General features: G+C 42.4%; 1 protein-coding gene across 4 annotated transcripts; it reads left to right on the forward strand.

Annotated features, from left to right (window-relative positions):
• On the forward strand, positions 2201-27005 carry RBMY1A1 (RNA binding motif protein Y-linked family 1 member A1). 4 transcript variants are annotated; one of them, XM_011531437.3, is made up of 12 exons: positions 2201-2348; positions 4210-4322; positions 4797-4900; positions 7920-8097; positions 10013-10165; positions 12176-12290; positions 13246-13356; positions 13798-13908; positions 14343-14453; positions 15375-15485; positions 15572-15660; positions 26910-27005. In XM_011531437.3, the coding sequence occupies exons 2-12, from the start codon at positions 4214-4216 to the stop codon at positions 26984-26986; spliced, it is 1269 nt and encodes a 422-aa protein (XP_011529739.1). In that variant the 5' UTR covers positions 2201-2348; positions 4210-4213; the 3' UTR covers positions 26987-27005. The 4 variants fall into 4 exon arrangements, with proteins under 4 accessions (XP_011529739.1, NP_005049.1, NP_001307873.1 ...); NM_005058.4 differs by lacking the exon at positions 26910-27005 and adding an exon at positions 16072-16648; NM_001320944.2 differs by lacking the exons at positions 15375-15485; positions 26910-27005 and adding an exon at positions 16072-16648.

A 27252-nucleotide genomic window follows, 5' to 3' on the forward strand; every position in this document is an offset into this window, starting at 1 on the left:
CACCCTGCAACTTTGCAAGAGCACGGAGAGTGTGGGGCAGGGCACCTTCCCTTCCAGGTCCTCTGTCTCTGTCTGGCGTGGAGGGCACCATCAGAGCTGTGGTGGTCTTGGTGGTGGGTGGAGGCAGGCCCAGACAACCTGCTCTGACCAGGGGCTGGCACTGAAGAAGTGGGCAGGGGGTTGGGGGCGGGGTGTTGTTGTGTGAGGCGACTACTTGCTCGGCGTTTCTGAGCTGCAGGAGGCCCTCCTGTGCTGGGTGCTGGACAGGCTCTGCTGCTGTCTGGGTGTGCCGTCTCTCCTTCTCCTGGTCTCCCCTGAGGGGTGCACGTGTCCACCCCAGGCAACCGCTGTGGGTAGAAGTAGCTACGGGGCTGTGCCTGGCTCTCCCCGTGGAGCTCGAGTGGTTTCAAGGGAGCTTATATATACTCAGGGCCTAAACATCTTTGGGTGCAGCGCTGGCAGAGGGAAGAAATTGTGTCTGGGGAGATAGTGCCTGCCTTGCATAGGACAGCAGCCCCGTGCACAGTGACACCGAGTCTTGAGCACCTTGTGTTTCTGGGGTAAGCTTGCTGGACACAGGCAAGGGGAGCAGGGAAGTTCCGTGGCTGGCATGGGCATGCAGACTCCCCTTCCTCCAGGGACTTTCCCGGTGAATCGTATCCTTCAACTTTCTGCTGTTATGATGGGTCCTTGGCGCTGCTATTCTCCCTGGTGAGTGCTGTGCTTGGCTTCCTGTCCCTACCACATGCCCTCAGGGCACATGCAATTAAGCTGCCCTCCTATCCGCATGAGCCTGTTCTCAGTTCCCCTTGTTGTCCCCCATGCCCTGAATCCTGGCTGACCGCCAGTGCCTACCACCTTGTTTCCCCCCACCTCCGCTCCCGGGAGCTCCGCGCCCATCCCCTGCTGCCAACCATCCCGAATTGGCAGCTGCAAGGATATGGCTCTGGCCCAGAAGCCGGGGATGCCCTGTGGCCTGGGACATTCACGTAGCCGAGCTCCAAGTGAAGGACGTCCAGCGAGTCTGTTGCTGGCCGGGGCGTACTGGGGCCAGGGCCAGGCTGTGCCTGCAGGTCCTCCTGCTGTGGCTCCACATTGGCCTTCCTCCTTGGCCACCACCTCCATCTCTGCAATGATGTCATCCCCCACTAGCATGCCTCTCCCCGCAGGGTTGTCTTCCTGCTCTGTGCACAGACCATCCTCTCCTGCACAGCCTCCAGCCTTAACATGGTGCCCTCCTTGAGGCTCCAACAGAGCAAAGCCTGTGCCTCCCACCCCACCCCCCCGGCACCCGTCAACTCTGGGGGCAACTCCAGGAGAGGCCTGCGGGCCTTGCCCTGCTGAGAACCACATCCTACACCTATGTGGAACAGGGTTCCTGGGGGGCCCCACAGGGCCCTTAGCCTGTCACACTCACACTGGGGCTCAGATACCCAGCAGGGTTAGCTGCGCACGGCAGCCCTGGAGTCGGATGCCAAGGCCCTGGCTTCCAGAGCCCCGCTAGCAGGCACACGGCCACCACTGCACTTGTGAGAGCCTCTGCACCAGCAAAGCAGTGCACACGGATCACTGCATTGGCGACCATGGCGGTAGGCCTCCCGTGTGCCCAGGGCACAGGATGAGAAGTCCTTTGGAATGCCCCTGTGAGTACAGCATCCTCAGGGAGGAACCATGGAACTCGGAGTATGTATTTGCCTAGACCTGACAGAATCCTTGCAGGGTTTCAGCTTCTGGTGCAGATGAATTCCACCTCAGCAACGTACCAGTCGACTTTAGTCCCACGCACCCGCCCTGCCCCAATCCCCCCAAGCCACCGCTGCTGCCCTCGCCCCAGCAGCAGCGCTGGTCCCTCTCTCTCCCCTCTGGATCCGCAATATTCAGTACCATCAGCCTAGCCTGCCTAATGAAGTGAGATGTTTCATGTGTTCCCTGTGGGTTAGTTAATGTCTTGCCACACTCAGGATGCCAGTTAGGGTGTAGGTCTTCCATGCCCACAATTGCAAAGGGCTCACAGTTCGCGTGTGCCTTAATCCACCGCGGCCCGCCACGTGGCACAAGCGTGGTCTCGGAAGAGTTACCGCGAGATGATGGAGCCGCAGGCCTGCTGGGGCGGAGCGGCCTCAGGACACGCCCACAGCCTTTGCAGTAACTGGCTGACGCCCACCGCCTTCGCAATGATTGGCCGCTGGAGGTAGGCGGGATTTCCGGGCACGGCTTCCGGCGTCCTTCCCTCTCAGGGAAGCTCCAGCTGTCCCTCCCGCAGTTGGCCCTGTGGTGTTCCGAAGCCGGTTACGTACGGCCTGAGGGCCAGGCGAACCTCAGGCTCTTTGTCCTACTAAAAAGCGCAGGTATTTTCTGTTTCTCTGGACAGCTGGGTCTCTCGGCAAGAATAGAAAGCGAAGGTTTGGGATTTTGTCTATAAAAGGGGATGGGTTTTCTATGTGTGGGTGTTGAATTACGGGAGGAGTCAGTGGGGAAAGAACTCCTCAGTGCTATTAAGAGACTCACTTTCGTTAAACTCATTGATTTTTCCTGAGGATTCTACCTTTAACTGCCTAATGTGTCCGACTAGTTGTGGGAGATGGTGCTAAGCCGCCATTGGTTTTCATGTGCACTTTTTATTAAAGCGGGTTTTCTCTGTGAATGTGGTGATAATTCAGAATACAGGCAATACACTTAACCACTGCGATTAAAAAGTCACACTTTTGGTTAGCACATGTCGCGTGTCTGATTTGCTTGGAAGAATTATCAAATTTTGACATAAATTGTGTTACTTTAGTGTATGTAGAAATATGGGGCCACAAATAATCTGAGTTTCAGTTTGCCTCTGTAAAGCCTGTGATCGTCTCCTTCGTTGTATGGCAGTATTTGAAACGTTTCATGTGTCTTTGGCACCGTAAATAATTTAAACCGAATAAGTGGGTGTAATCGAGACAAATGGAGTTAGATAGCCGAAAACTGGAACAAAATAGATGCGCTTAAGTTATTCTGTTAACCTGGCACACTGCCTTACTCCTGTAGTCCTAGCATTTTGGGAAGTGGAGGTCGGAGGATGGCTTGAAGTCAGGAGTTTGAGACCAGCCTGGGTAACGTACTGGACTCTTTCATTGCTATTTTCGCATCAGGGACTGGTTTAGTGGAAGTCAGTTTTTCCTCAGAGAAAGGTTGCGCAGGGGAAGAAGGCGGCGAGGTGGACAGGTTTGGGAGTGGGGGCTGGCGGCAGGTCTCCGAGGGGCACGTGGTGGGCCGGGTCTTCCGGTAGGAGCAATGTGACAGAGGCCAGGTGGGGCAGTGAGGCTGTCACGGGGACAGGGAGGGCCAGCGAGGGAGTAGGGAGGATGGTTTCCGGATAAAACTGTACCACCTCAGGTCATCCTCAGGCGTTACATTCTCCACAGACAGGTATTGCAGGTCATCCTCCGGCATCACATTCAGGCCACAGATAGGTACGGGTTGAAGGCTAGGGTTTGGGGATCTTTGACCTATTGTATATTTCAAATCACTAAAAGATGGTAAAATATTTAAAATATTCTCCTCCTAGAACATTTTAAGTAGCTTGATTTAATCTCTTATCCAAATATCATGCTGAGTGTGGTGAGTCACCCTTGAAATCCCATCACTTTGGTAGTCCCAAGCCGGCAGAACACTTGAGCCGAAGATTTGGAGACTAGCTTGGGCACTATGGGGAAACCCTTGTCTATTTTTAAAAATACAAAAAATTGCCCAGCTGTGGTAGAAAGCGCCTGTAGTACTAGCTACTTGGGAAGCTGAGATGTAGGAAGATCAGTTGAGGCTGGGTGGAAGAGCCTGCAGTGAGCAGTTCACTTTGGCGACAGGAGACAGACATCTCAAGAAAGAAAATATGCAAAACATCACACTGTACCTCATAAATAGATTCTTTTCAAATAAAATTATTTAAATGGGGACATTCTTCATATTGCAACTGAGGAAAATTACAATAGCTTTTCTTATCTAATTTTTAGAAATGAGATTTTTGTCAGGTACATACTAAAATGCAGCATTTGTCCATGAAGTTAGTGCCCCTTTGCTCTGAGTGTTACAAATTTTACATATATAAAGTAAGAAATACTAAAAAGATGTCAGCCTCAGGAAGGGAATTTTACTTGGGTTTTCAGCACAGTATGTAATAAAATTTTATCTTTTTAGCTTATTTATATCTAAATATAGATAATTTTTTACCATTTACAGCACAATGGTAGAAGCAGATCATCCTGGCAAGCTTTTCATTGGTGGCCTCAATAGAGAAACCAATGAGAAGATGCTTAAAGCAGTATTTGGGAAACATGGTCCCATATCAGAAGGTAACTCTTAAAACCGTGTGTGTGTGTGTGTGTGTGTGTGTGTGTGTGTGTGTGTGTGTGTATTTTCACATGTATATTTCAATAGGTATGTTTAAAATATGTATGTTATATATATATGTTTTGAAAAAATATATTTTTTCAAAGTTCATTGTATACCTACATTAAAATGCCTTATGCATTTTAAACTCTTATTTTGTAGTATCTGTTTGATATTTGGAAAATTCTCATAGTAGTAGGTTAAGGTTCTATGGAAAGGATAACCTACTACTTAGAAAGGAAAATGAGGGAAAGTAAATGTGCTGTGGAGTTCCGAAACAAACTGGAATAAACTAGACTGACTGTAGGGGTGACTGAGTATCGAGAACCATAATAGTGATGTGAAATGCAATTATTTTTTAGTTTGATGTAACCTTTAGATGGTGAGTACCTTGATGAGTCCATTATATGAATGTAAAATGTTTTCATATATTTTAGTTCTTTTGATAAAGGATCGAACCAGCAAATCCAGAGGCTTTGCATTTATTACTTTTGAGAACCCTGCAGATGCTAAGAATGCTGCCAAAGATATGAATGGAAAGGTAAGAGTCCCTTATTACTAATATTCTAACTCTGTTCTTCAATTAACAATATTTCTAGGTCTTTTTAATATTGCTAAACTTTTGAGGATAGTAGAATGACACATGAAGCCATCCTCTTTTTTGTGCCATATACGTGCAAGTGTAGTTGGAAGGGTATTGGAATTAACATTACATAAATTAATATTTGGTAACCTTTTTCTATGTTTGTATTTCGATATGAGTGCAAATAGATTTTAAAAGGTTTTGAAGAGCTTTAAAACTTATAAGGAACCCTCATGTAAATGAAAGTAATAAGTCAATATTTATTAAATGCTATTAATTGAAGTACATCCAATTCATGGAAATACTTTTAGAGCGTAGACAAACTGGATAGACATCTAGACAGACGCACAAGAAGGAAAGACTCTTTCCTTCTTGAAGAATATATTTTATGAAAATATATTCTTGCGAAAGTGTATTTAAATAAGACCTTTACATTTACGGAAAGGTTAAGTAGTTGAAAATAGAAAATAATATGAGAACATTGAAGTCAGATAACAGAAGAAGTAACTGGCATTCTTGGCTCCATGCTTGCTTTTTCTCCTAAGGACATTTCTTTCCTGTCACCAGAGTGATTTATGTAACATGAATAGCTAATTACTCATTTCCCCAGTGTGTTTGAGGACTTGTTTTGATTGAACCAATGGTCTCTTGTCCTGTTGAGTCTTAAATCTAGAGATTGTGTGTTTACTTAAGCTTTAAACTTCTATGTAATGATATTAATTATTGAATTCCTTTACATTGTAGTCAAGAGCATTCCATTCTGTGCTCTTTAGTGTTTTTTGCTTTATAACATTATCCCAATCATGCCGGGCATGGTGGCTCATGCGTGTAATCCCAGCGCTTTGGGTGGCCAAGGCGGGCAGATCACAAGGTCAGGAGAAAGAAACCATAATGGCCAACATGGTGAAACCCTGTCGCTACTAAAATACAAAAAAAAAAATTAGCTGCATCTGGTTGTGTGTGCCTGTAGTTCCAGCTAGTCAGTAGGCTGAGGCAGGGGAATCGGTTAAACCCAAGGAGGCAGAGGTTGCAGTGAGCCGAGATCACGCCGATGCACTCCAGCCTGGCAACAGAGCAAGAATCCGTCTCAAAAAAACAAAAAATAAATAAAATAAATAAATAACGTTATCCCAATCTGTTTTTAGGTCCTGTTAGTCTTCACGCTATTCCCAAAGTGCTTTTTTAGACTTCTTGAGAATTATCCTTCCCTGTGTATGGCTCATAAATAAAATTTATGCTTCAAAAACCACTTAGATTTCATAATTTTCTTCCTCATTGCGTATTGTAGGTATTTTCTACTCGCTGTACTATGTATTAATCTATTGATCGTGAAATTGTATATAGTGCATATTTAAGTCTTGCTAGTTGCTTTTCTTTCTGTTACATCTAGCACACTTCCTGTCACATAGCAGAAAGTACATTTTTATTCACCCTTATAAATTAGTATTTCAAGCTGTGGTAGAAACCGAGAGTTGCTTTTGGTTCATGGCTTTGTGGTAGGTATGGAGATAATTTTGACTTCTGTATAGGAAGCTATGATAATTTCTTTTTTCCCTCTAGTTTTCAAGCAAAAGGGCAGGTAATTTGTGTAAAGTTTTTGTTCGTTTGTTTGTTTTTTAAGATGGAGACTCGCTGTGTGCCCTAGGCTGGATTGCAGTGGGGCCATCTTGGCTCACTGCAACCTCCGCCTCCCGGGTTCAAGCGATTCTCCTGCCTCAGCCTCCCAGTACCAGGGGCTACAGAGGCGCGCCACCACGCCCAGCTAATTTTGTACTTTGAGTAGGGATGGGGTTTCACCCTGTTAGCCAGGGTGAGCTCTATCTCTTCACCTCATGATCCACCCGCCTTGGCCTCCCAAAGTATTGGGATTACCGGTGTGAGCCACCGCGCCCAGCCAACGTTATTTCTAAATTACTTCATCTCACGTATTTTATTGTGTTAAAATAACTATGAATGTTGTATGCACATTAATGTTAAGATGGCCAATAAAGGAGGTTCTTTGAGTTTTCAGGGGGAATTAACAGTTAAGGAATTTTGGCTGACTTCAGAACACTGGGAAGGAAGCAGCCGTGGGCAAATCTGGGGAAAATATTTTGAGCCCAGAAATAACAAAAGAAGTTTCAAGGTAGGAACAACGGGCGATGTGGCTGCAAGCGGTCTTGTTCAGGGATTTAAGTCCTTCCTCCAAATAACAAAAGCCATGTAATTTTTAAATCGCATTATTAGCTGAACTGTTTTCAAAAATTGCTGTGGCCTGTAGAAAAGATTACAGTGAAAAATGTTATTATGAAATTAATTAGGATAGTTAAGCATTTCTGAGAAATTACCTGAAGTACTATATTAAGATTCGTTTTTTAGGGGCACGTCTAAGGCAATGTAAGAAATGAGTAAGGCAAGAAAACTTAATGAGATCAAACAAGGATCACATTTACAGAAACATTTTTAGAGTCAATATAGAATTGTAAATCATATGGGGACATTTTATGGAAGTGTTAGCAAATCCAACAAGAAACAACTCATAATGAGTAATGTGCCTAATCACTCTGAAAAAGTAAGCTCATTTTTTTTTTAAATGACACGAGTTTCATTGGGACACTGCAACTTTCAAATCAGTGATGTGACTACAAAGATGAAGTGGATTATATATTGTAAAAAACAGATGTGCCACATTCTTCCACAGAATGTGTGATGGGTCAAACTTTTTTTTTATGTTTGAGTTTTTTTTTTTTTTAATGATGGAAAAGTTTTCAAGGAATTTGAATAATAGAATTTGTGTTTGATCCCTTAATGGAAGGCATGTGCTCAGTAACTATCTCAAATTTGGCATTGCGAAAGATGTGTTCATTTTAGAAGAAAAAAAAGTTTCCTTTTGGGAGAAAAATACCTCAAATTGAACTACAGTTGATGTAAAAATGTTTGTAAAATGTGCTTACGTTAAATGTGCCGGTGTTATTGATAGTACCCTTAATACTTCTAGTCTTTGCATGGAAAAGCAATAAAAGTAGAACAAGCCAAGAAACCATCTTTTCAAAGTGGTGGTAGGCGGAGACCACCAGCTTCTTCGAGAAACAGAAGCCCTTCAGGAAGTCTGAGATCTGCAAGAGGAAGCCGTGGAGGAACAAGAGGGTGGCTTCCCTCACATGAAGGGCACCTGGGTAATGTTTTAAAATATAAAGATGGAACCATAGGACTGAAAGAAAATAAGTTTGACGATATTGAAATTTCTTAATTTTTTTCTTTCCTGTATGAAGAGAAAATTAGCTTATTGATAATAAGCAAACTTATTTCTAAGTACTATAAAGGTGTATTATAAGAATGATTGAACTAATATCTAAAATTTGTTTAACAATTATAATAAGTTTGCACTGAAGTAACACACATTTGAAAGTGAGTTGTGTTTGTGAATGCTGATTGCCTGTACTCAACCGGTTTTCTGCAGAACTCATTTATATTCATTATACTTTAGAGTTTTCTACTTTAGGGCCCAGAACTTCGTGTCAGTTGTATTATCAAAGTACGATGTAATATTTAAAATTTTCCAACAGGAAGAAGTAACTGAATACTGAAGATTGATTTTGCAGTATTTGTTTTCTTGTGTCTACATGTGGAAACATCTATGCAAATGTATTGCTTTGTAATTTTGATACAGAGAGTTTGTACATTGGCCTGCCGTAAAGCATTTTCAATTTAAGAAATGTAGAACTTTAATTTCTGAAAAGAGTCTGTGACTCTGGAAAGATCTAAAAACCACTGCTTCACAGATATGTATGAATCTTTCTTTGCTGGAGGCTGAGTCACTGAAAATGATATTTATGAGTGATTTACTTAATAGAAATGAGGGGTCCATCTTTACATATAAAAGAAAAACAAACCATATATTTAAAAAAAAGGAAAAAGAAAAAACTATTGGATGGGCTGTGCGAGGTGGCTCACGCCTGTCACCTCAGCACCTGGGGAGTACAGGGGAGGTGGACCACGAGGTCAGGAGTTCCAGACCAGCCTGGCCAACATGGTGAAACCCTGTCTCTCCTAAAGATACAAAAAAATTTGCCTGGGCCTGGTGGCGTGCACCTGTAATCCCAGCTACTCAGGAGGCTGAGGCAGGAGAATCACAGGAACCTGGGAGGCAAAAGCTGCAGTGAGCCAAGGTTATGCCATGGCACTCCAGCCTGCGTGATAGGGCAAGAGTGCATCTGAATAAATAAATAAATAAACCTGTTGGTTAACTTGTATTATCTATTAACCAACCTTCAGAACTCTAACAAATAGCTTGGAGTTTTAATAACCAGACATGTAATTAATTGGAGATTGTTTTCAAGTTGAAATTGCAGTGTTTGCTCCATTTTAAGATGCGTAGCTTCACGGCTGTTTTGCCTCCACTGATCTTGAGGGTGAGCTTCAATTATACTCTGCCACGGACGAGAATGTGTACATAAATTCTAACCTGTAACACCACCTGGCAATTGGCATATATCTACGTTTTTGTAGATGTATAAAAATATGTTTATATTACCGAATATGCAATTCTTAAAGACTGTTAAAATTCAGCATAGTCTCATCTGAAAATTAGTGTCTCATAAGGGAATTTTAAGAATTCTATATTGTGTTAACAAATTTTAGAGACAATGTATTTTCCTGATATGTGATTTCTTGGTATTGGAAATATTTGAGTTTCTTTGAATGGAAATTAGTTTATCTTTATGATGTGCTTTGAAAATTTTTCCTCATTACAGAATGATATAAACAGTCATTTATCATTTTTCTTTTAATATTTTTATGTATATTATATTTGGATATTTTAGTGATAGATTTCTGCCCCCGTTCACTCCCCATTTTCCCACATCTCTCCTTCATACCGATATATTATGATACTTGAGTTTCTTTCTAGATTTTCTAAATGAACTTTTAATGCTTGAAGTGTACTAATACCTTGTAGGAATGCTAATTTTATTAGTTTAGACAAAATGTGAATTTGTTATAAAATGTAGAAAATATTTGTAAACAACTAAAACTTAGCCATTTAAGAAACAGTGACGTCAGTTAACTAAAAAGATTTTGTTTGAAATACAGATGATGGTGGATACACTCCTGATCTCAAGATGAGTTATTCTAGGGGACTCATTCCAGTTAAAAGAGGTCCATCTTCAAGAAGTGGAGGTCCTCCTCCGAAAAAATCTGCTCCTTCTGCTGTGGCAAGAAGCAATAGTTGGATGGGAAGCCAAGGTAAATGCTGCCTGACAGAAAGACCGTAGTTTTTGTATGACTAAAAATGAGCCGTTTTACCTGAATGCTTAGCTTTAAGTTCATTGAACAAAAGAGAAGTGACACATACGTGAGCATAATTACTGATTGATAGCTTTTATTATAGTTTCTATCTCACTAGGTACATTTCAGATTTATGTTGAAGAAATACTTGAGCTTCTCATTGCAGATCAAAGAAGTGATTAGAGTGAGGCCAACATTCCTTTTAATCCTGTGTTGGCTAGAAAATTCCCCTTAATTTTTCTAAAAGTTCCTAGCAGTATTCTTTGATGGTAGGCTTCTTGATCTAATTAACTCTTCCATTTCCTAAGTCCCCTGGTGTCCCATTCTAAAAATTGCTTGTTCGGTGACTTTGCTGGGTTGGAGTCTTGCTCTTACTAGGTGAGAGTGCACTATGTGAGACGACGGCTTACTGTAGCCTCAAATTTGTGAGATGACGGCTTACTATAGCCTCAAATTCCTGGGCTCAAGCAATTCTGCTGTTTCAGCCTCCCGAGTTTGTGCAACTACAGGCATGCAGCAGCACACCTAGCTACATTTTTTTCCCTATGTTTTTGTAGAGAGAGGATCTGACTACATTGTCAAAACTGATGTTAAAGCCTGGGGCTCAAGCGGTCCAGCTGCCTCAGCCTTCCACACTCACTCACAGTGTGAGCCGCTAAGCCTGGCCATCCAGCTTCTGAGACCTCAGTAATGCGTATGTGCAAGGCATACTCACTGCTTGCATGAAGATTCAAAAGAACTACAAGAGCATTTAGCAGACAAGGAGTCATTGGGCTTAAATATGATTTAAAAATAAATTTAAGGCTCGAGAGGTAGACACGTAGGAGTCCAAAATTCTTAAATTAAGTGGATATCACAGAAATGCAGAGTTGTGAAATATAGGTGTATGTAAATCAGTAATTGAGATTGTACCGGGATGTTTAAACATTAACACAAGATCCTTAGTGTAAGATTTGAAATTATTTGAGGAGAGAATTTAGAACTCAGCAACATGAGGTGAGCGGTAGGGTTGAATGCAAGTAATACTTTTGAGAAGAATTGTAAGACTGCAGACTGAACAGAAGAAAATAAGACAATAAATAAAAGTTCTTAGCAAGGAAGTTTAAGCAGAGCAAATTAAAATTCTTTCTTAGTCCTCCATCCGCATACGGAGGAAGTTAAAAACTGCCATTTTCAATTTTACATTTCATACGTAGAGTATCGGTGAAGGGAGGTATTTATTGGCTTCAGGATACCCAAGCCAACACATTTCCATTGGAAAATTAGCCAGTGAAGGTATCATATGTGAAACACTGACCGCTAAGGAATAGCAAGTGAAGAATATATTAGAGGAGAAACTTTCTATTTTGAAACAGCAACAATGTTGTAATGACCCCTTGCATAGCATTGCTTTCTTTGCAGTAAAAGCAAATCTTGACCATCATTAGAAAATCTTCACTAATACATTTTAATTTGTCAACATTTAAGATAGAGCCAACCAGTTAAAGAACTTTTATGTAAACATTTAGCATATAGTCATTTAAAGGTAGCTGTATTTATGTGTCTGTGAGATGGACTGAATGATATTGGAAAATCTACCTTCTTTGGCTGAGAAAGAACAATGTATGTAAACTTTAAAATCAGTGAAGAGTTTGATGGTTTTACGTGTTTTCCCTGTGTCACTCACAGTCATCAGTAATTTATATGGAAAGGAAAATAATAACTAAGTAGTTATTAACCATTACAAATGAACTTTTACCTAAGCATTAATGTTTGCCTTCAGCTTCATTAGAAGAACTGGCCTTGTGGGAGCCATGGGATTATCCAAAGCCATGAGAAATATTCACAGTGTCATGTCTGTCTAGTAATTTAGGAAACAAAGAATGGAGTCATAGAAGAAATAATTTTAAAAAGTTGTTTGAGAGAAGAGAAAATAGCGTTTCAGATTTGGTGTTCTTTACGTAATGTTCCATCATTTGAATGTTAAAGGTCCCATGTCACAAAGAAGAGAGAATTATGGAGTTCCTCCACGCAGAGCGACAATATCTTCCTGGAGAAATGATCGCATGTCAACAAGACATGATGGTTATGCAACTAACGATGGGTAAAGGAAAAATTAAAAAGCACAGTTGATTTTTTTTTCCTGTGGTGATGAAATTCACATAACAAAATTAAATATTATAAGGTGAACAGTTAGGTGGTGTTTGATACATTCTGTGCCATGCAACAACTACCTCCATCGAGTTCCAGAACATTTTCATCACTCCAAATTGAAACTCCTACTACCAGTTAAGCAGTCCCTCCCATTTTCTCCTTTTCCTCAGCTGCTAGATAACACCAGTCAGTGTTCTGCCTCTGAACTTACCTGTTGTGGGTATTTAATGTTAATGTGCTCAAACACTACATGACTTTTTGTATTTGTCTCCTCTCCTTTTGCATGATGTCCTGAAGGTTCATTTACATCATAGCACTTCACTCCTTCCACAAGCTATTAACCCATTATTTTATCTGCGTTGTTTCCACCCGAGTATTTCTACGCACCAATATTTGTTTGAGTGTGCTTACTCGGTTCTGGGTGTATATGAGTGGAATTGCATGGTCCTATGATAATGATGTTTGTTTTCTTGAGGAACCACCACATTTCTCCATAGTAGCTGCATCATTTTCCGTTCCAACCTAGCATTGTATCAGCAATCCAATTTATCTACATCCTCTCAAACACTTGTTATTTCCTGCTGTTTGAAATTTATTGCCATTCAAATGTGTGTTTGAAATATGATATCCCATTTTCGATTTGAAATGCATTTTCTGCACCCATTAACTCATCATGCACATGTATCCTAGAACTTAAAGTATAATGAAACAAAAAGAAATGCATTTTCTGAATCGCTGAATATGAGTATCAGTCCCGTGTGCTTTTTGGGCATTTGCCGATTTTATTTGGAGAAATATCTGTTTAGATGTTTGGCCTTTTAATTTTGTTTAAGTTGTAAGTTAGTCATGTATTGGATACTAGAAGTTGAAAATTTAAAATTTGTTGCTTAAACTTATGCACACAGAAATCATCCAAGTTGCCAAGAAACGAGGGATTATGCTCCACCATCTAGAGGCTATGCATACCGTGATAATGGTCATTCTAATCGGGATGAACATTCCTCTAGAGGATATAGGTACTGTAACTTTTTCTGAATTTGTCAAATAGATTTCTTAAATTGCTCATTCCAACTAACGTTCTATCAGGGCTCCAATTTATCTACATCCTCTCAAACACTTGTTATTTCCTGCTTTTGAAAATTTATTGCCCTTCCAGTGTGTGCGTATGAAATATGATATCTCATTTTGGATTTGAAATGCATTTTCTGCACCCATTAACTCATCATGCACATGGACCCTAGAACTTAAAGTATAATTAAAAAAAAAAGAAATGCGTCTTCTGAATCACTGAATATGAGTATGTGTCCCATGTGCATCTTGGGCATTTGCCCATTTTATTTGGAGAAATATCCATTGAGATGTTTGGCCTTTTAATTTTGTTTAAGTTGTAAGTTAGTCATGTATCGGATACTAGAAGTTGAAAATTTAAAATTTGTTGCTTAAACTTATGCATACAGAAATCATCGAAGTTCCCGAGAAACTAGGGATTATGCTCCACCATCTAGAGGCCATGCATACCGTGATTATGGTCATTCTCGTCGGGATGAAAGTTATTCTAGAGGATACAGGTACTGTAACTTTTTGTGGATTTGTCAAATAGATTTCTTAAATTGTTCATTCCAACTAACATTGTATCAGGGCTCCAATTTATCTGCATCCTCTCCAACACTTGTTATTTCCTGCTTTTGAAAATTTATTGCCATTCATCTGTGTGTGAAATATGATATCTCATTTTGGATTTGAAATGCATTTTCTGCACCCATTAACTCGTCATGCACATGGACCCTAGAACTTAAAGTATAATAAAAAAAAGAAATGCATTTTCTGAATCACTGAATATGAGTATCTGTCCCATGTGCTTTTTGGGCGTTTGCCCATTTTATTTGGAGAAATATCTATTTAGATGTTTGGCCTTTTAATTTTGTTTAAGTTGTAAGTTAGTCATATATCGGATACTACAAGTTGAAAATTTAAAATTTGTTGCTTAAACTTATGCATACAGAAATCGTCGAAGTTCCCGAGAAACTAGGGAGTATGCTCCACCATCTAGAGGCCATGGATACCGTGATTATGGTCATTCTCGTCGACATGAAAGTTATTCTAGAGGATATAGGTACTGTAATTTTTCTGGATTTGTCAAATAGATTTCTTAAATTGTTCATTCCAACTAACATTGTATCAGGGCTCCAATTTATCTACATCCTCTCAAACACTTGTTATTTCCTGCTTTTGAAAATCTATTGCCATTCATCTGTGTGTGTGAAATATGATATCTCATTTTGGATTTGAAATGCATTTTCTGCACCCATTAACTCATCATGCACATGTATGCTAGAACTTAAAGTATAATAAAACAAAAAGAAATGCATTTTCTGAATCACTGAATATGAGTATCTGTCACTTGTCCTTTTTGGGCATTTGCCTATTTTATTTGGAGAAATACCTATTTAGATGTTTGGCCTTTTAATTTAAAGTTGTAAGTTAGTCATGTATTCGATACTAGAAGATGAAAATTTAAAATTTGTTGCTTAAACTTATGCACACACAAATCATCCAAGTTCCCGAGAAACTAGGGATTATGCTCCACCATCTAGAGGCTAGGCATACTGAGACTATGGTCATTCTAGGCAGGATGAACATTCCTCTAGAGGATATAGATACTGTAACTTTTTCTGGATTTATCAAATAGATTTCTTAAATTGTTCATTCCAACTAACATTGTATCAGGGCTCCAATTTATCTACATCCTCTCAAACACTTGTTATTTCCTGCTTTTGAAAATTTTTTGCCCTTCCAGTGTGTGTGTGTGAAGTGTGGATGCTCCTTTTTTATTTGAAATGCATTTCCTGAATCACTGATTATGAGTATCTGTTTCATGTGCTTTTTGGGCATTTGGGCATTTTGGGCATTTGGGCTCTGTGGGCATTTTATTTAGATGTTTGGTAATTTAATTGTGTTTAAGTTGTAATGTAGTTATGTTTTGGATACTAGAAGGTGACAATTTAAAATTCCTTGCTTCAACTCGTGCACGCAGAAATCATCCAAGTTCCCGAGAAACCAGGGATTATGCTCCACCACATAGAGACTATGCATACCGTGATTATGGTCATTCTAGTTGGGATGAACATTCCTCTAGAGGATATAGGTACTAACATGTTATCTGGATTTATCAAATGGATTTCTTAAATTGTTCATTCTGAAATTGAAAAGACTTTTTTTTTTTCAATTTAGTTATCATGATGGCTACGGTGAGGCCCTTGGTAGAGATCATTCTGAACATCTAAGTGGAAGTTCTTATAGAGATGCACTTCAGAGATACGGTAAGGGTCCAGGATGGATTTGTAAATTACAGAATTTTATTTAATAGACCAGATTGTTATTTTAATGAAATTCTAAGGAAAATTGTAAAGGCCATATGCAACATGTTTAAATATTGAGTATTCTTAACAGTATAAAGCCTAGGGAATGATATGAAGGTGAGAACTTCAGTTAACGTTAAGAAAATGTGACTGAGCATTTACTTTAGAATTAAGTTTGTTAAGCTGCAAAATACTACTCTTACACTTCTCTTAAATAAAACCTTCTGACTATTAAAGCCTTGATTAATATCCTGTCAACAAAGGCGGAGGAAAGCAGATATTTCCAAATAGTACTTTAACTAATTCATGCTTTAATGATAGCAGTAAAAATGTTTAAATGTAGTCCCACATATTATTTTACCAACCCTGCAGGGACCTCTCATGGTGCACCACCTGCAAGAGGGCCTCGGATGTCTTATGGTGGAAGCACCTGCCACGCATATAGTAATACACGAGATAGATATGGCAGAAGTTGGGAGAGTTACTCGAGCTGTGGTGATTTTCATTATTGTGATCGTGAGCATGTTTGCAGAAAAGACCAAAGGAATCCGCCTTCTCTGGGTAGGGTGCTCCCTGATCCTCGTGAAGCATGTGGTAGCTCAAGTTATGTGGCATCTATAGTAGATGGTGGGGAGAGTCGATCTGAAAAAGGAGACTCGAGCAGATATTAAAGCAAGCATTGAAAATAATAGTTATTGCATACCAATCCTTGTTTGCAAATCAAAAATTGAAATGTTATTTCTGCATTGTTACCTGCATATTACTGAAAGAAACATGTTGGTTTTGTGGAGAGAGGTAGATACTAACTTCCTCCATGAATTTTTTGAGGTATTCAAAGGAAAAGGAATTGTTTTCAAAGTAATTTCATACTTGTTGATGCTATTTGAAAAGTGTTTAGATGTAATATCTACCTTAAAATTTTCACAATAAAATTTGACATGTACTGCAAGATGCCTGGTGTTATTGGTTAGCCGCGCATGCTTAAAGCAAATTCAATAGGAGAGTAAATTGTGTAGTCTGTTGTACATTTTCCTTTGTTTCTTTGAACATAGGTACAAAATTAGGGATGTGTTATGTCGCCCTTGCAAGCTGCTCAAGTTTTGTAATTAGGCTGTTTCTCTTTAAAAACTAACAAGGTTAAAATGTTGGAGAAGTCTTCAGAAAGACTACAAAACTGTCTGCCTCACCATAAAACGTTTATTTTTTAGAGGAATAGTACAGGTCAAAGGAAATCATTAGATGTATTGATACTAAAGTTTAAGACATCCGGAACATTCTATGTGAAGCATTCTGTGACTGAAGAGGATAACGGTAATGAAAACTTTTTTTTTCACCTAAATCAGAAGTGAACCAGCTAAGTTTCTCAGGTGCGTAGCATAATGAATTTAAATGTTCGTAGTTTAAATAGTGGAAAGTAAGTGTTTTGTCTTGTGAGGTTCCCACGTTAATTTTTTCTTGAATATTTTGACAGTGGATGTTGTAAGTAATGGTTTAGTAATATGTTCTTACAGATAGGAATAATCTAGAGTGGTTGGGATAGTATCAGTTTTTTTTTGAGGTGAAGTGTATAGCTTTGTCGCCGAAGCTGGGGTGCAGTGGCTCTGTCTTGGCTTATGGCAACCGCTGCCTTCTGGATCCAAGCTATTCTCCTGCCTCAGCATCCTGAGTAACTGGTATTAGATATGTGTGCCGCACAGCGGGGCCAATTTTTGTATTTTTAGTGCAGACAGCGTTTCACCTTGTTTGCCAGGCTGTTCTTAAAATCCTGATCCACCCTCCTCAGACTCCCGAAGTGCTAAGATTATAGGCGTGTGCCACCACTGTCAGCCTATCGTATTTAATTGATAATATGAATGGAAACGCTTTAAACCTCATACTTAGGGGAAAGTGAAGTGTATAAAACATAAACAACAGCATAAAGTTTCCGACGGGATTGCTTAAAGTTTTAAGACATCACTGAATGATACAAATATTTAGACCGAAATAACTAAATGAATTAATTTTCCTGATTATACAAACTAAAGAAATGAAATACATCAAGTTCCAGAAGTTTTGCAGTCCATAATTCTTACAATTGACAGACTAATCTGCAAGGAGGAAGTATTTTCTTGAAAAATTTTGACAGAATCATCAATTTTTACAGGGTAAGGGTACAAATAATTTTAAAGGGAGAAGTTACCAACTTTGATTTTCAAGTGAGTTATTCATGTTATGGAGTGTTTTCATTCACCTGTAGCATTGTGAGGATGAAGTGAAAAGATAAATCTCCCGAGTCTTGTGTATCTTACTGTCCATGTGTGATGGCTCAGGTCTCTAATTCTAACACTTGGGGAGGCCGAGGCTTGCAGAGCACTTTAGGACAGGAGTTGAAGACCAGGCTGGCCAACACCATGAAACCCCATCTCTACCAAAAATACAAAAATTAGCCGGGCATGGTGGTGCCTGCCTGTAGTACGTTGCAGTTAATTGGGAGGCTCAGGCAGGACAGTGGTTTGAACCTGGGAGCCTGATGCTGCGGTGAGCCGATATTGCACCATGCACTCTAGCCTGGGTGACAGAGTGCGACTCCAACACAAAAATAATTATATCAATCAACAAATATATACATAATAAATAGGGTATCCTTCAGTTCAAGCACTTACCGATTCTTTTTTCTTTTTTAGAGACAAGGTCTCACACTGTTGTCCAGCCTAGACTGCAGTGGCACCATCATAGCTCACTGCAGCCTTGAACACGGGCTTGAAATGTGCAAGCCTTCCATTTCAGCCTCCCAAGTAGCTGGAATTACAGACACACACCAACCACCGTGCCCAGCTTTTGTGTTTGTGTGTGTGTGGTAGGGACAATGCTTTGGATATATTGTTCAGGCTGGTCTCAAACTCCCAGACCGAAATAATCCTCCTTCCCTGGCTTCCCAAAGTGTTGTGATTATAGCCGTGAGCCACTGAGTCTGGCATATCTTTTCTCATTATGAGCGACATTCCACCTCACTGAGTCTGGCGTATCTTTTCTTGGTATCAGCGACATTCCACCTTCGCTCTATTAATTATTTTGAGATGTACAATAAATCATTATTAAGTGTAGTCATCCTGTGCCACTGAACACTAGATATTATTCCTTCTAAGCAAGTATAATTTAACCCACCCCCATCCCCTCTTTGATCCCTCGCTTACCAGTTCACATTACTTGTATCAAAATATCACATGTATGCCAAAAGTATCTACAACTGTTAGGTACAAATTTTCATTCCCTTCCTCCTTCCCTCCCTTCCTTTCTTCCTTCCTGTCTTTCTTTCTTTTTGTCTCTGTATCTTTTTCTCTCACTGATTTTTTTTTTTTTAAGAAAGAATCCTGCCCTGTCACCTAGGCTGGAGTGCAGTGGCGTGATCTCAGCTCACTGCTCCCTCCTTATCACGGGTTCAAGCAATTGTCCAGTCACACTCTCCTAAGCAACTGCAACTGCAGTCATATGACACCAATCCTGTATGTGTGTGTGTGTGTGTGTGTGTGTGTGTGTGTGTGTGTATTTCTATTTTCAGTAGAGACCAGGTTTCACAATATTTGCTCGGGCTGGTCTTGAACTCTTGTCCTCTAGTGATCCACTCACCTCATCCTCTGAGAATGCTGGGATCCAGGCGTGAGCCACAATGCCCACCCAGTTTTATGCATTTGTCTCTTCAGTAATCTCTCCTATTTTATTATTTTATTCTCTTTTTATTTCTGAGACAGAGTCTCGCTGTGCTGCCCAGGCTGGAGCACAGTGGTGTGATCTCACTTTACTGCAAACTCCATCACCAGGATTCAATGGATTCTCCTGCATCAGCCTTCCAAGTAGCTGGGATAATATCCATGGGCCACCAAGCTTGGCTAGCTTTGGTATGATAGTAGACATGGCATCTTGCCATGTCTAATTTCATATCTATTTTAAAGCTCAGTTTATAAGCAATACTGACTTCCTGGAATGTTTTCTGTTTACAAAACTATAGTACTATTATTTAGCCTCCTCAGATAAAATATGATAACACACAAAACATACACACACAGACAAAGACACGGTCAGTGATCAAAAAATCAGTGTAGGCCACGACCTAAAATGGAACGTGAACTGCTGCAGTTGCCTAGAATTAAAGCAGACCAGAGTTGACCCATACCAGGCTGAGAGATGTGAACAGAGGCTTTCAAACAACTCTATCAGATACATGTTAGATTATTCTCCAGCCATAGCGAAGGGGCATTAAAGATCTGTTGTGTTTAGAAGAGTCTCGATGATTTGACTTTTCCAGGGTATTAGCATTCATGATGTTGGCCTTTACAGCTCTCTGCAATTAAGTCAGTAGACAACTCAGTTTTTCTAGGAGTCTAAAGTGCTTTTCAGAATTATCTAAAGCTTAGTGGCTTAAACAATAATTATAATTTACTAACTGTCAGTCTCTGCAATCCCCCGCAGTCACTCAGCCAAATGATTGTGGTTCTGGGGCACTCAGGAGGACGCAATCTAGTGATGGCCAAGGTTGGGGACGTTGGCGGGTGTCTTCTCATCTCCCTGGTGCCATGGCTAGCGTGACTCAAATAGCAGGGGCTGGACTGCTGAGATGCTCAGACATCTTGTTCTGTTTCTTTGAGTCTCTCCATTGGATGTCCCTTCTGCATAGTGTCATCAGGGTGTTAGACTTCGTGATGTACTGGTCGGGGGCTCCTAAGGGGGATGAGAGCAGGAGAGTTAGGCAGAGCTGTGTCACCTTTTCTAAACTAGGCCAGAGGTGGTCCAGTATCCAGAAAATGCTTGCACTGTTTTCTATTCATTACAAGCAAGTACTGTGTTCAGTCCCATCAGGAATATTTTCAAATGGGTGTGAGAAGAATTTCAAAGTGTGTTTTAGACCACTACAGTGGTCATGCCTAATAATTCCTTATTTTTACAAGTGCTCGATGGGTTTTTCCCAAAATAATAGCAGATACAGACTTTTAAACTTGAAACCTATGTATCATAGCTCTGAACATTTGGCTATATGTTGAAATAACTTGAGCAAAAATTGATTTTGAAATGAGAGTTATAAATAAAATACATGAGATAAAGTCATAAATATATGGATGAAATGCTTATAAAGAGATCAGCCTTAAAAATGTCAATAGGTCTAATATGCCACTATTTTACTATTTCTATGGATATTACTTGGATAAGAGGACAAGGACTCAGGGGTGTGCTGCTCTATCTCTTCACCTTGAAACTGCAGCTGGGGCACCAGGAGTAGCAGTTCCCGCTAACACCATGTGGTGAGGACAAGGAGTCCATTCAGGTTAAGGAGGGTGTGAGCATATTGTGATCTGGAAGAGAGATACACCTGGTACAGCAACCAGGATCAAGGTCCCTGGCACATGTTGAAATCCCCCATGCCCAGCTGTGGCAGAGTGAATCCCTCAGCTGGTGCTGTGCCTCCAGGTATGTTCTGAAAGCAGCTGCCTGCGCTGAGAAGGATCCCCTCATTCCCTTGTCATGTGGGAGGGTGAGGCTTGTGGCCCCCGCTCTGTCTGTTCCCGCTCTTTGCCTTCCCATTATCCCACTGCTGGGTAAGGTGGCAGGACCCCGGAATGTAGAAGGGCCCTGGGTTGTTGACAGTGCCTGTGGGTGGCCATGTACTAGGAGGAGAGTCCTCACTGAGCCTCCCACGAGCTTGGAGGCGGGGAAGGAACAGTCCTGGGGCACTGGCTGTTCCAGAGTCCAGGGGTCTGTCCCAGAGAAGGCCAGGGGGAGGTTGTAAGCCTGTGGATCTGCAATCTAGGTGGAAGACCTGTATCTGCCATGGCTGACATCATCAGGGCATGACACTCACTGGGTGGAGAGCTGGGCTTATGCATTTTACCCCTGTCCTGAAGAGACCCTGCATGCCTGGTTCTCCTGGGAACAGTGATCCTAGGGACCCCCCAGTCTGGGTCCACTCATGACCATAAGCTTAGGATCTTGTGTGCCTTGCTTCCTGTCTGCCCAGGTGAGGCATCCTGGAGAGGGTGCATGGGGCAAAGCTCGTGTGCGCACACCCAGCACTGGGACGGGGTGTCACCGGCCAGTTAGGCTCTCCTGGCCCTCTCCTGAGCTCCCACCTGGCTAAGTGGCAAGTGTCCCATCTACCTGAACCCACAGCCCAGGTTTCTCTTCCACCTACTGACCCATGCCCTCTTAGGGAGAATGCCACCCTCCCTGGAGACTCAGGCCCTGCCGGACCCACATGCTGTCCTCTCTCATGGGCCGGAGACTCTGGTGCACAGGGATTCCCGAATAGCGAATCCCAAAGCCCTGCAGGTTTCACTGATTCTTACCTGAATGCCCCAGCCGAACACACAGGTAAACACAGGCAGCTACTAGGTTTTATATCCCTCTGGGTGTCATTTCAGGTTTATGACATCTCCTCTAGGTAGCTTGTGCCAGCCACCCTTTTCCTCCTCCCTCTGCCATTTGTGAGAACCATGAGGACTCTTTGCTTCTCCCTAGCATGCAGACTTCACGGGTCCTGAAGTTGGATTGCCAAACCCAGCGGCACCCTGCTTGCCAGCTTAAGAGCTGAGTTTGAGGCACACCTGTGGGCAGGAGTGTCGGCCCTCCCAAAACCAAGGTACACAAAGGTACACAGGCACACGTGTGCACATGCGTGCATCAGCTTAGACACACAGGCTGGACACGCAAACTGGAATGTGCCCATACCCACACTGGTACGAGGGAAACTGGGTGTCTACACCAATACTCAGGTGAGGCTTACTGCTCAGCCACGTACCCTCCCTGGACACACACAGAAGATCCCCTGCCATTTAATTGATCATCTGCAGTAGGATTTATTTTTACTTTTATACTTTTTTAACTTACCAAAGTATGTTGCATTCTTTTCCCCATCATGAAAAAGACTTTGATACAAGTAAAGAGGAAAAGCACTTTTTATAATGAAATCTTTTATCTGCATCTATATTATTAAGGCATTTAAAAAACTTTATGTCTATTTTTTAATGTCATAGGAAATGTCTTGAGAGCCGGGGAAGCATGAATGAGGATGGCAGAGGGGATAAAGCATGTCAGGGGAGCCTGGGGTCATTGAAACAAAACGTGACAGGGCTGGGATAGCCATTCTAGAAGTACGTAGACCTAGGCACGCCCTGCGTGCACTCTAGTTGAGCCCAAACTGAGCCCCAGGTAGTAGCAGGCCTCAAGGCGTAGAAGGGAGCCAGAGAAGGATGATGAGACAGCTATCCCTTGAGCCTTGCTTCTCACCCATTGACCTTTGCCACTTCTGCCTCAGGCACTTCAGGTTCCCCAATTCTGAAATATGAGTGTTACAGTTCCCTGATGGGCCTTTCTGCCCCAGTCCAGGGATGGCCTGGGATTTCTCACTGCAGGCTCCTCCCTGAGCCTTGAGTTCTCCATGTGTGTCACAGCTGCAGGACCCACAGGCCTTTGAGCCCCCAGCTGTGGGCTGCTTACCTGGCCTCCTCTCTGTTCCCTCTCTGAGGACCTAATCCTTAGGTAGTGCTGCAGGGGATTGAGACGGAAGCCCTGACTGATGATCTGGAGGAGTGGGGAAAGTGGTCTGTGAAAGGTCAGGTCATAGTTCAAAGCCAGTTCCCAAGATGCCAAGGAAAGACCAGCAAGGTCCTTTCCCATGACGCCCCACAGCGGCCCCTGCCTCAGCAGTCCTGGCTGACCCTGAGTGGTCACAGTCAGCCAACTAGCTGAGGAAGCTCAGGTAGGCTGTGTCCTTACTGAAGGTGGGGCTTCTTCTGATGACTCTAGAACCACTGGACTACACTAGAGCCAGTGGCCCTGCATCCTGGAACAAGAGTCAAAAAGGCTCATGCCAGGCCTAGCGTCCCACACTCCACCCTCTACCACACCAGGAGGCACTCCTTACCAAGGATGTGAACACGATATTCCTTAATGATCACTTTATTGTGGAAATAAAGGTTGTGACAAAAGGAACACTTCATCCTGCTGCCGGTACCTGGGATGGCTGAGTTCCTCCACCTGCCATGCCAAGAAGAAGAGGACAGACTCAAAGGATCCATTTCATCTATCTGGGCTGAGGGCCTGCTGACTGGGGTGCAGCATGTGTTGCCCCTTCCCAGCTCTACCACTCAGAACCCCTGTGCCCCAGGAGGACCTCAACCTGAGCAAGACCCTGGACCCGTCCCGCAGACCCCGGCTCCTCAGGCTGAGCTTCAAATCCATCCTGTAGCTTACTTAGCAGGACTTCCTCATGGTTTCTGAACTCTGCCGACATGTAGGTGTGCTGCACAATCTGCCTCTGGTCAAGGAACCTCCAGATGATTGGGTGGGCATGCCAGGAAACACCCCACAACTTTGCAAGAGCTGGGAGAGTGTTTGGCAGGGCTATCCCAAAACCTTTGACCTGGTACCCTGCATTGGTGGTCCTGTCTCTGTCCAGTGTTGGGGGCATGGTAGTGGTTGTGGTGGTCTTGTGGGAGGGTGGAGGGAGGCCCGGAAAGCTCCTGCCAACAAGGAGCGGGCGGCACAAGTAGGCAGGGGATTGGGTGTGGGGTGCTGTTGTGTGAGGCGGCTGTATCTTCAGAGTTGCTGAGCTGCACATGGTCATTGTGTGCTGGATGCTGGACTGGCTCTGCTGAGGGTGTCCAGGTGTGCAGTCCCCTCTTCTCCTGGTCTTCCTGAGGGGTGGGCGTGTTCACTTGAGGGAGCTGCTGTGGATAGAGGGGACTGCAGGGCTGTGCCTGTTGCTCCCCATGGGGCTTCCATGTGTGTAATGGAGGTGTTTGTGCAACGGAGGTTGTATATGCTCAGCTCTTTGGGTGCAGTACAGGCAGAAGGAAGAAAGCGTATCTGGGGAGTTTGTGCCTGCCTTGCAGAGGACAGCAGCCCAGTGCACCGTGAACCCAAGTCTTAAGCACCTTGTGTTTCTGGGGTAAGGCTGCTGGCCACAGACATGGGCAGCCAGGGTGGTTTCTATGGCTGGCATGGGCTTGCAGACTCCCCTTCCTCCAAGGACTTTCTCATGGAAACATGCCCTTCAAGTTTCTGCTGTGAGTGAAGGGTCCATGGGGCTCCTATTCTCCCTTGTGAGTGCTGAGCTTGGCTCCCAGTCCCTACCATGTGCTCTCAGGGCACCCCCAAGCAAGCTGCCCTCCTATCTGCAGGACCCTGGCCTCAGCTCCCTTCGCTATCCCCCATCCCCTGCCTCCTGGTTGTCCCCGTGTGCCCCTTGCTTGGCTCCCCTGCTCCCCACCCCAAGAAGCCAGATGCCCACCCCCTGCTGCCAGTCATTCCGAATGGGCAGCTGCAAAGATGTGCCTCTGGCCCAGAAGCTGGAGATGCCCTGGCTGATGGCCCCTGTGCCATCCAGGCTGGGAAGGCACCTCTGCCAAAGCTTACATCTCAGCTGTGGGCAGGCCATGTGGACTGGTTATTCATGGAACTCTGCTTCAAGTGAAGGGCCTCCAGCGAGTCTGTGGCTGGCTGGGGTGTGCTGGATCCAGGGCCAGGCTGTCTGCTGGTCCTCCACCAGGCTCCATGTCAGGCTTCTCCTCAACCACCACCTGGACCATGCCATGATGTTGTCCACCACCAGCACCTTCTCCTCCCCCAAGAGTGCCTTCGAACTCTGCGCCCTGGCTGCCCTCTCCTGCAGAGCCTCCAATTTGAATGGGGTGCCTCCTTTGGAGGTCCCACTGACCATGACCTGCACTGTCCACTCACTGTCCACTCCACGTCCAGATAAGTATATCCTTATAGTATACTTAAAAAAAAAAAACCTTAAAAGCATTCCCATTTCTCCACATCCTCTCCAACATCTGTTGTTTTCTGACTTTTTAATGATTGCCATTCTAACTGACATGAGATGGTATCTCTTTGTGGTTGCAAGGTCATGGATGAAGCTGAAAACCATCATACTAAGCACACTATCACAAGGACAGAAAACCAAGCACCGCATGTTCTCACTCATAAGTAGGAGTTGAACAATAAGAACACAGGGACACAGGGTGGGGAACACCACACATGGGGTGGTTGGTGGGATGCGGGGCTGGGGAGGGATAGCATTAGGAGAAATGCCTAATGTAAATGATAAGTTGATGTGTGCAGCAAACCAACATGGCACATGTATCCCTATGTAACAAACCTGTACGTTGTGAACATGTACCCTAGAACTTAAAGTATAATAAAAAAAAAAAAAAAGAAAAAAAACTGAAAAGGAAAAATAGCTCTACAAACCCAAATACTAAATAGAAAATTAGTATCAGTGGCCTAGAATCTAACTTGCATTAAGATATCACAAACATTCAGCAGATAGTTTCTAAATGCCACAGTAAGCCTGGCAGTCTGCAAGAAGCTCAGAAAAACATGGTCCTTCTGAGAGTGCAGTTGTTACAGGCACAGAGATAAATGAGGAATAATAAGTGTGATAACTGCTGTAATAGGCAAATACAGGAAATAGAAACCACATTTTCCTCATTTATGAAACACAAGTTTAAAAACCCTTTTGAAGTTCAAATGAGAATATTTGCTGTTACTGTATAAACTGTCAAGTAGCTATACAAATTTTTTTTTCTCACAGTGATTTATATCATGTGTGTATTACATGGTTAGTGAAGCATTCTCATAAAGGAAACCTTGAAATGTGTCCGCTGTTCAGTTTTTGTTTTTCAACTGTTTCAGTCATTGTTATTTATCATATTTTCCCTAGGGGATTTTGAATTTTAAAGAGAATATGTAAAAACTGAAAAGAGAAGGACAATGAAATTGCAAGACTACAGTCATAATAATTTCCTTGATTAATTCAATTGTTTATAGAGCAAGATTAGATTATATTTCTCCCAAAAGATTCTTGGAGAAATTCTAAGATGATGCACTCATTGTTAGAAATTGCCAAGTTGTTGCTTAAGTTAGACTTAACACTTTTTAAGCCTAAAGATACAGTAATAGTTATGTATTTAAACAGGGAAAATAGGATTTTTAGTGCTACTTTCTCTCACCTGGAATAATTATAACTTTTAAATTGGTCTTTATGTCAATTTAAATTTTTCATTATTCTACGTCATGTTTTGGATAAGCCATGTATTTTTAAATTTATTTTCATCCTTTTGGTACTTCTGTGAGAAACTGCAGACTTAAATTCATATCACAACTATGTTTCAGTTTTACTTCTCTGTTCCTAAAGGTTCACAAAAATAAAGAACTCCACTTACGCTTGTATCTTTCAGCAACCTTATTTCAGAAAACGGTGCATATTACTGCAGAAATCACATGGACAGGTCCAAAGCGGGGAGGAGGAGGATGAGGAGGAAGAGGAGGAGGAGGAGGTGAAGAAGAAGAAGAAGAGGAAGAAGAAGTAGAAGAAGAAGGAGGAGGAGGAGGAAGCGGCAAGCTTTTAAGTCTATACATTAGTATCACTGTGTCAGAAACTCAGTAGTCATAGTGAAATAAAAACAATGATCACAGTCAGTCAATTCCATCTCATACCTAGACTGAAATATGAAACTTCTAAAGAAAAGAAAGTTAAGAACTTTGGGCATATCAAAATGTTCCTATACAGATAAAATTATT

The sequence above is a fragment of the Homo sapiens genome, chromosome Y (genome assembly GCF_000001405.40).
Source record: "Homo sapiens chromosome Y, GRCh38.p14 Primary Assembly".
NCBI lineage: Eukaryota > Metazoa > Chordata > Mammalia > Primates > Hominidae > Homo > Homo sapiens.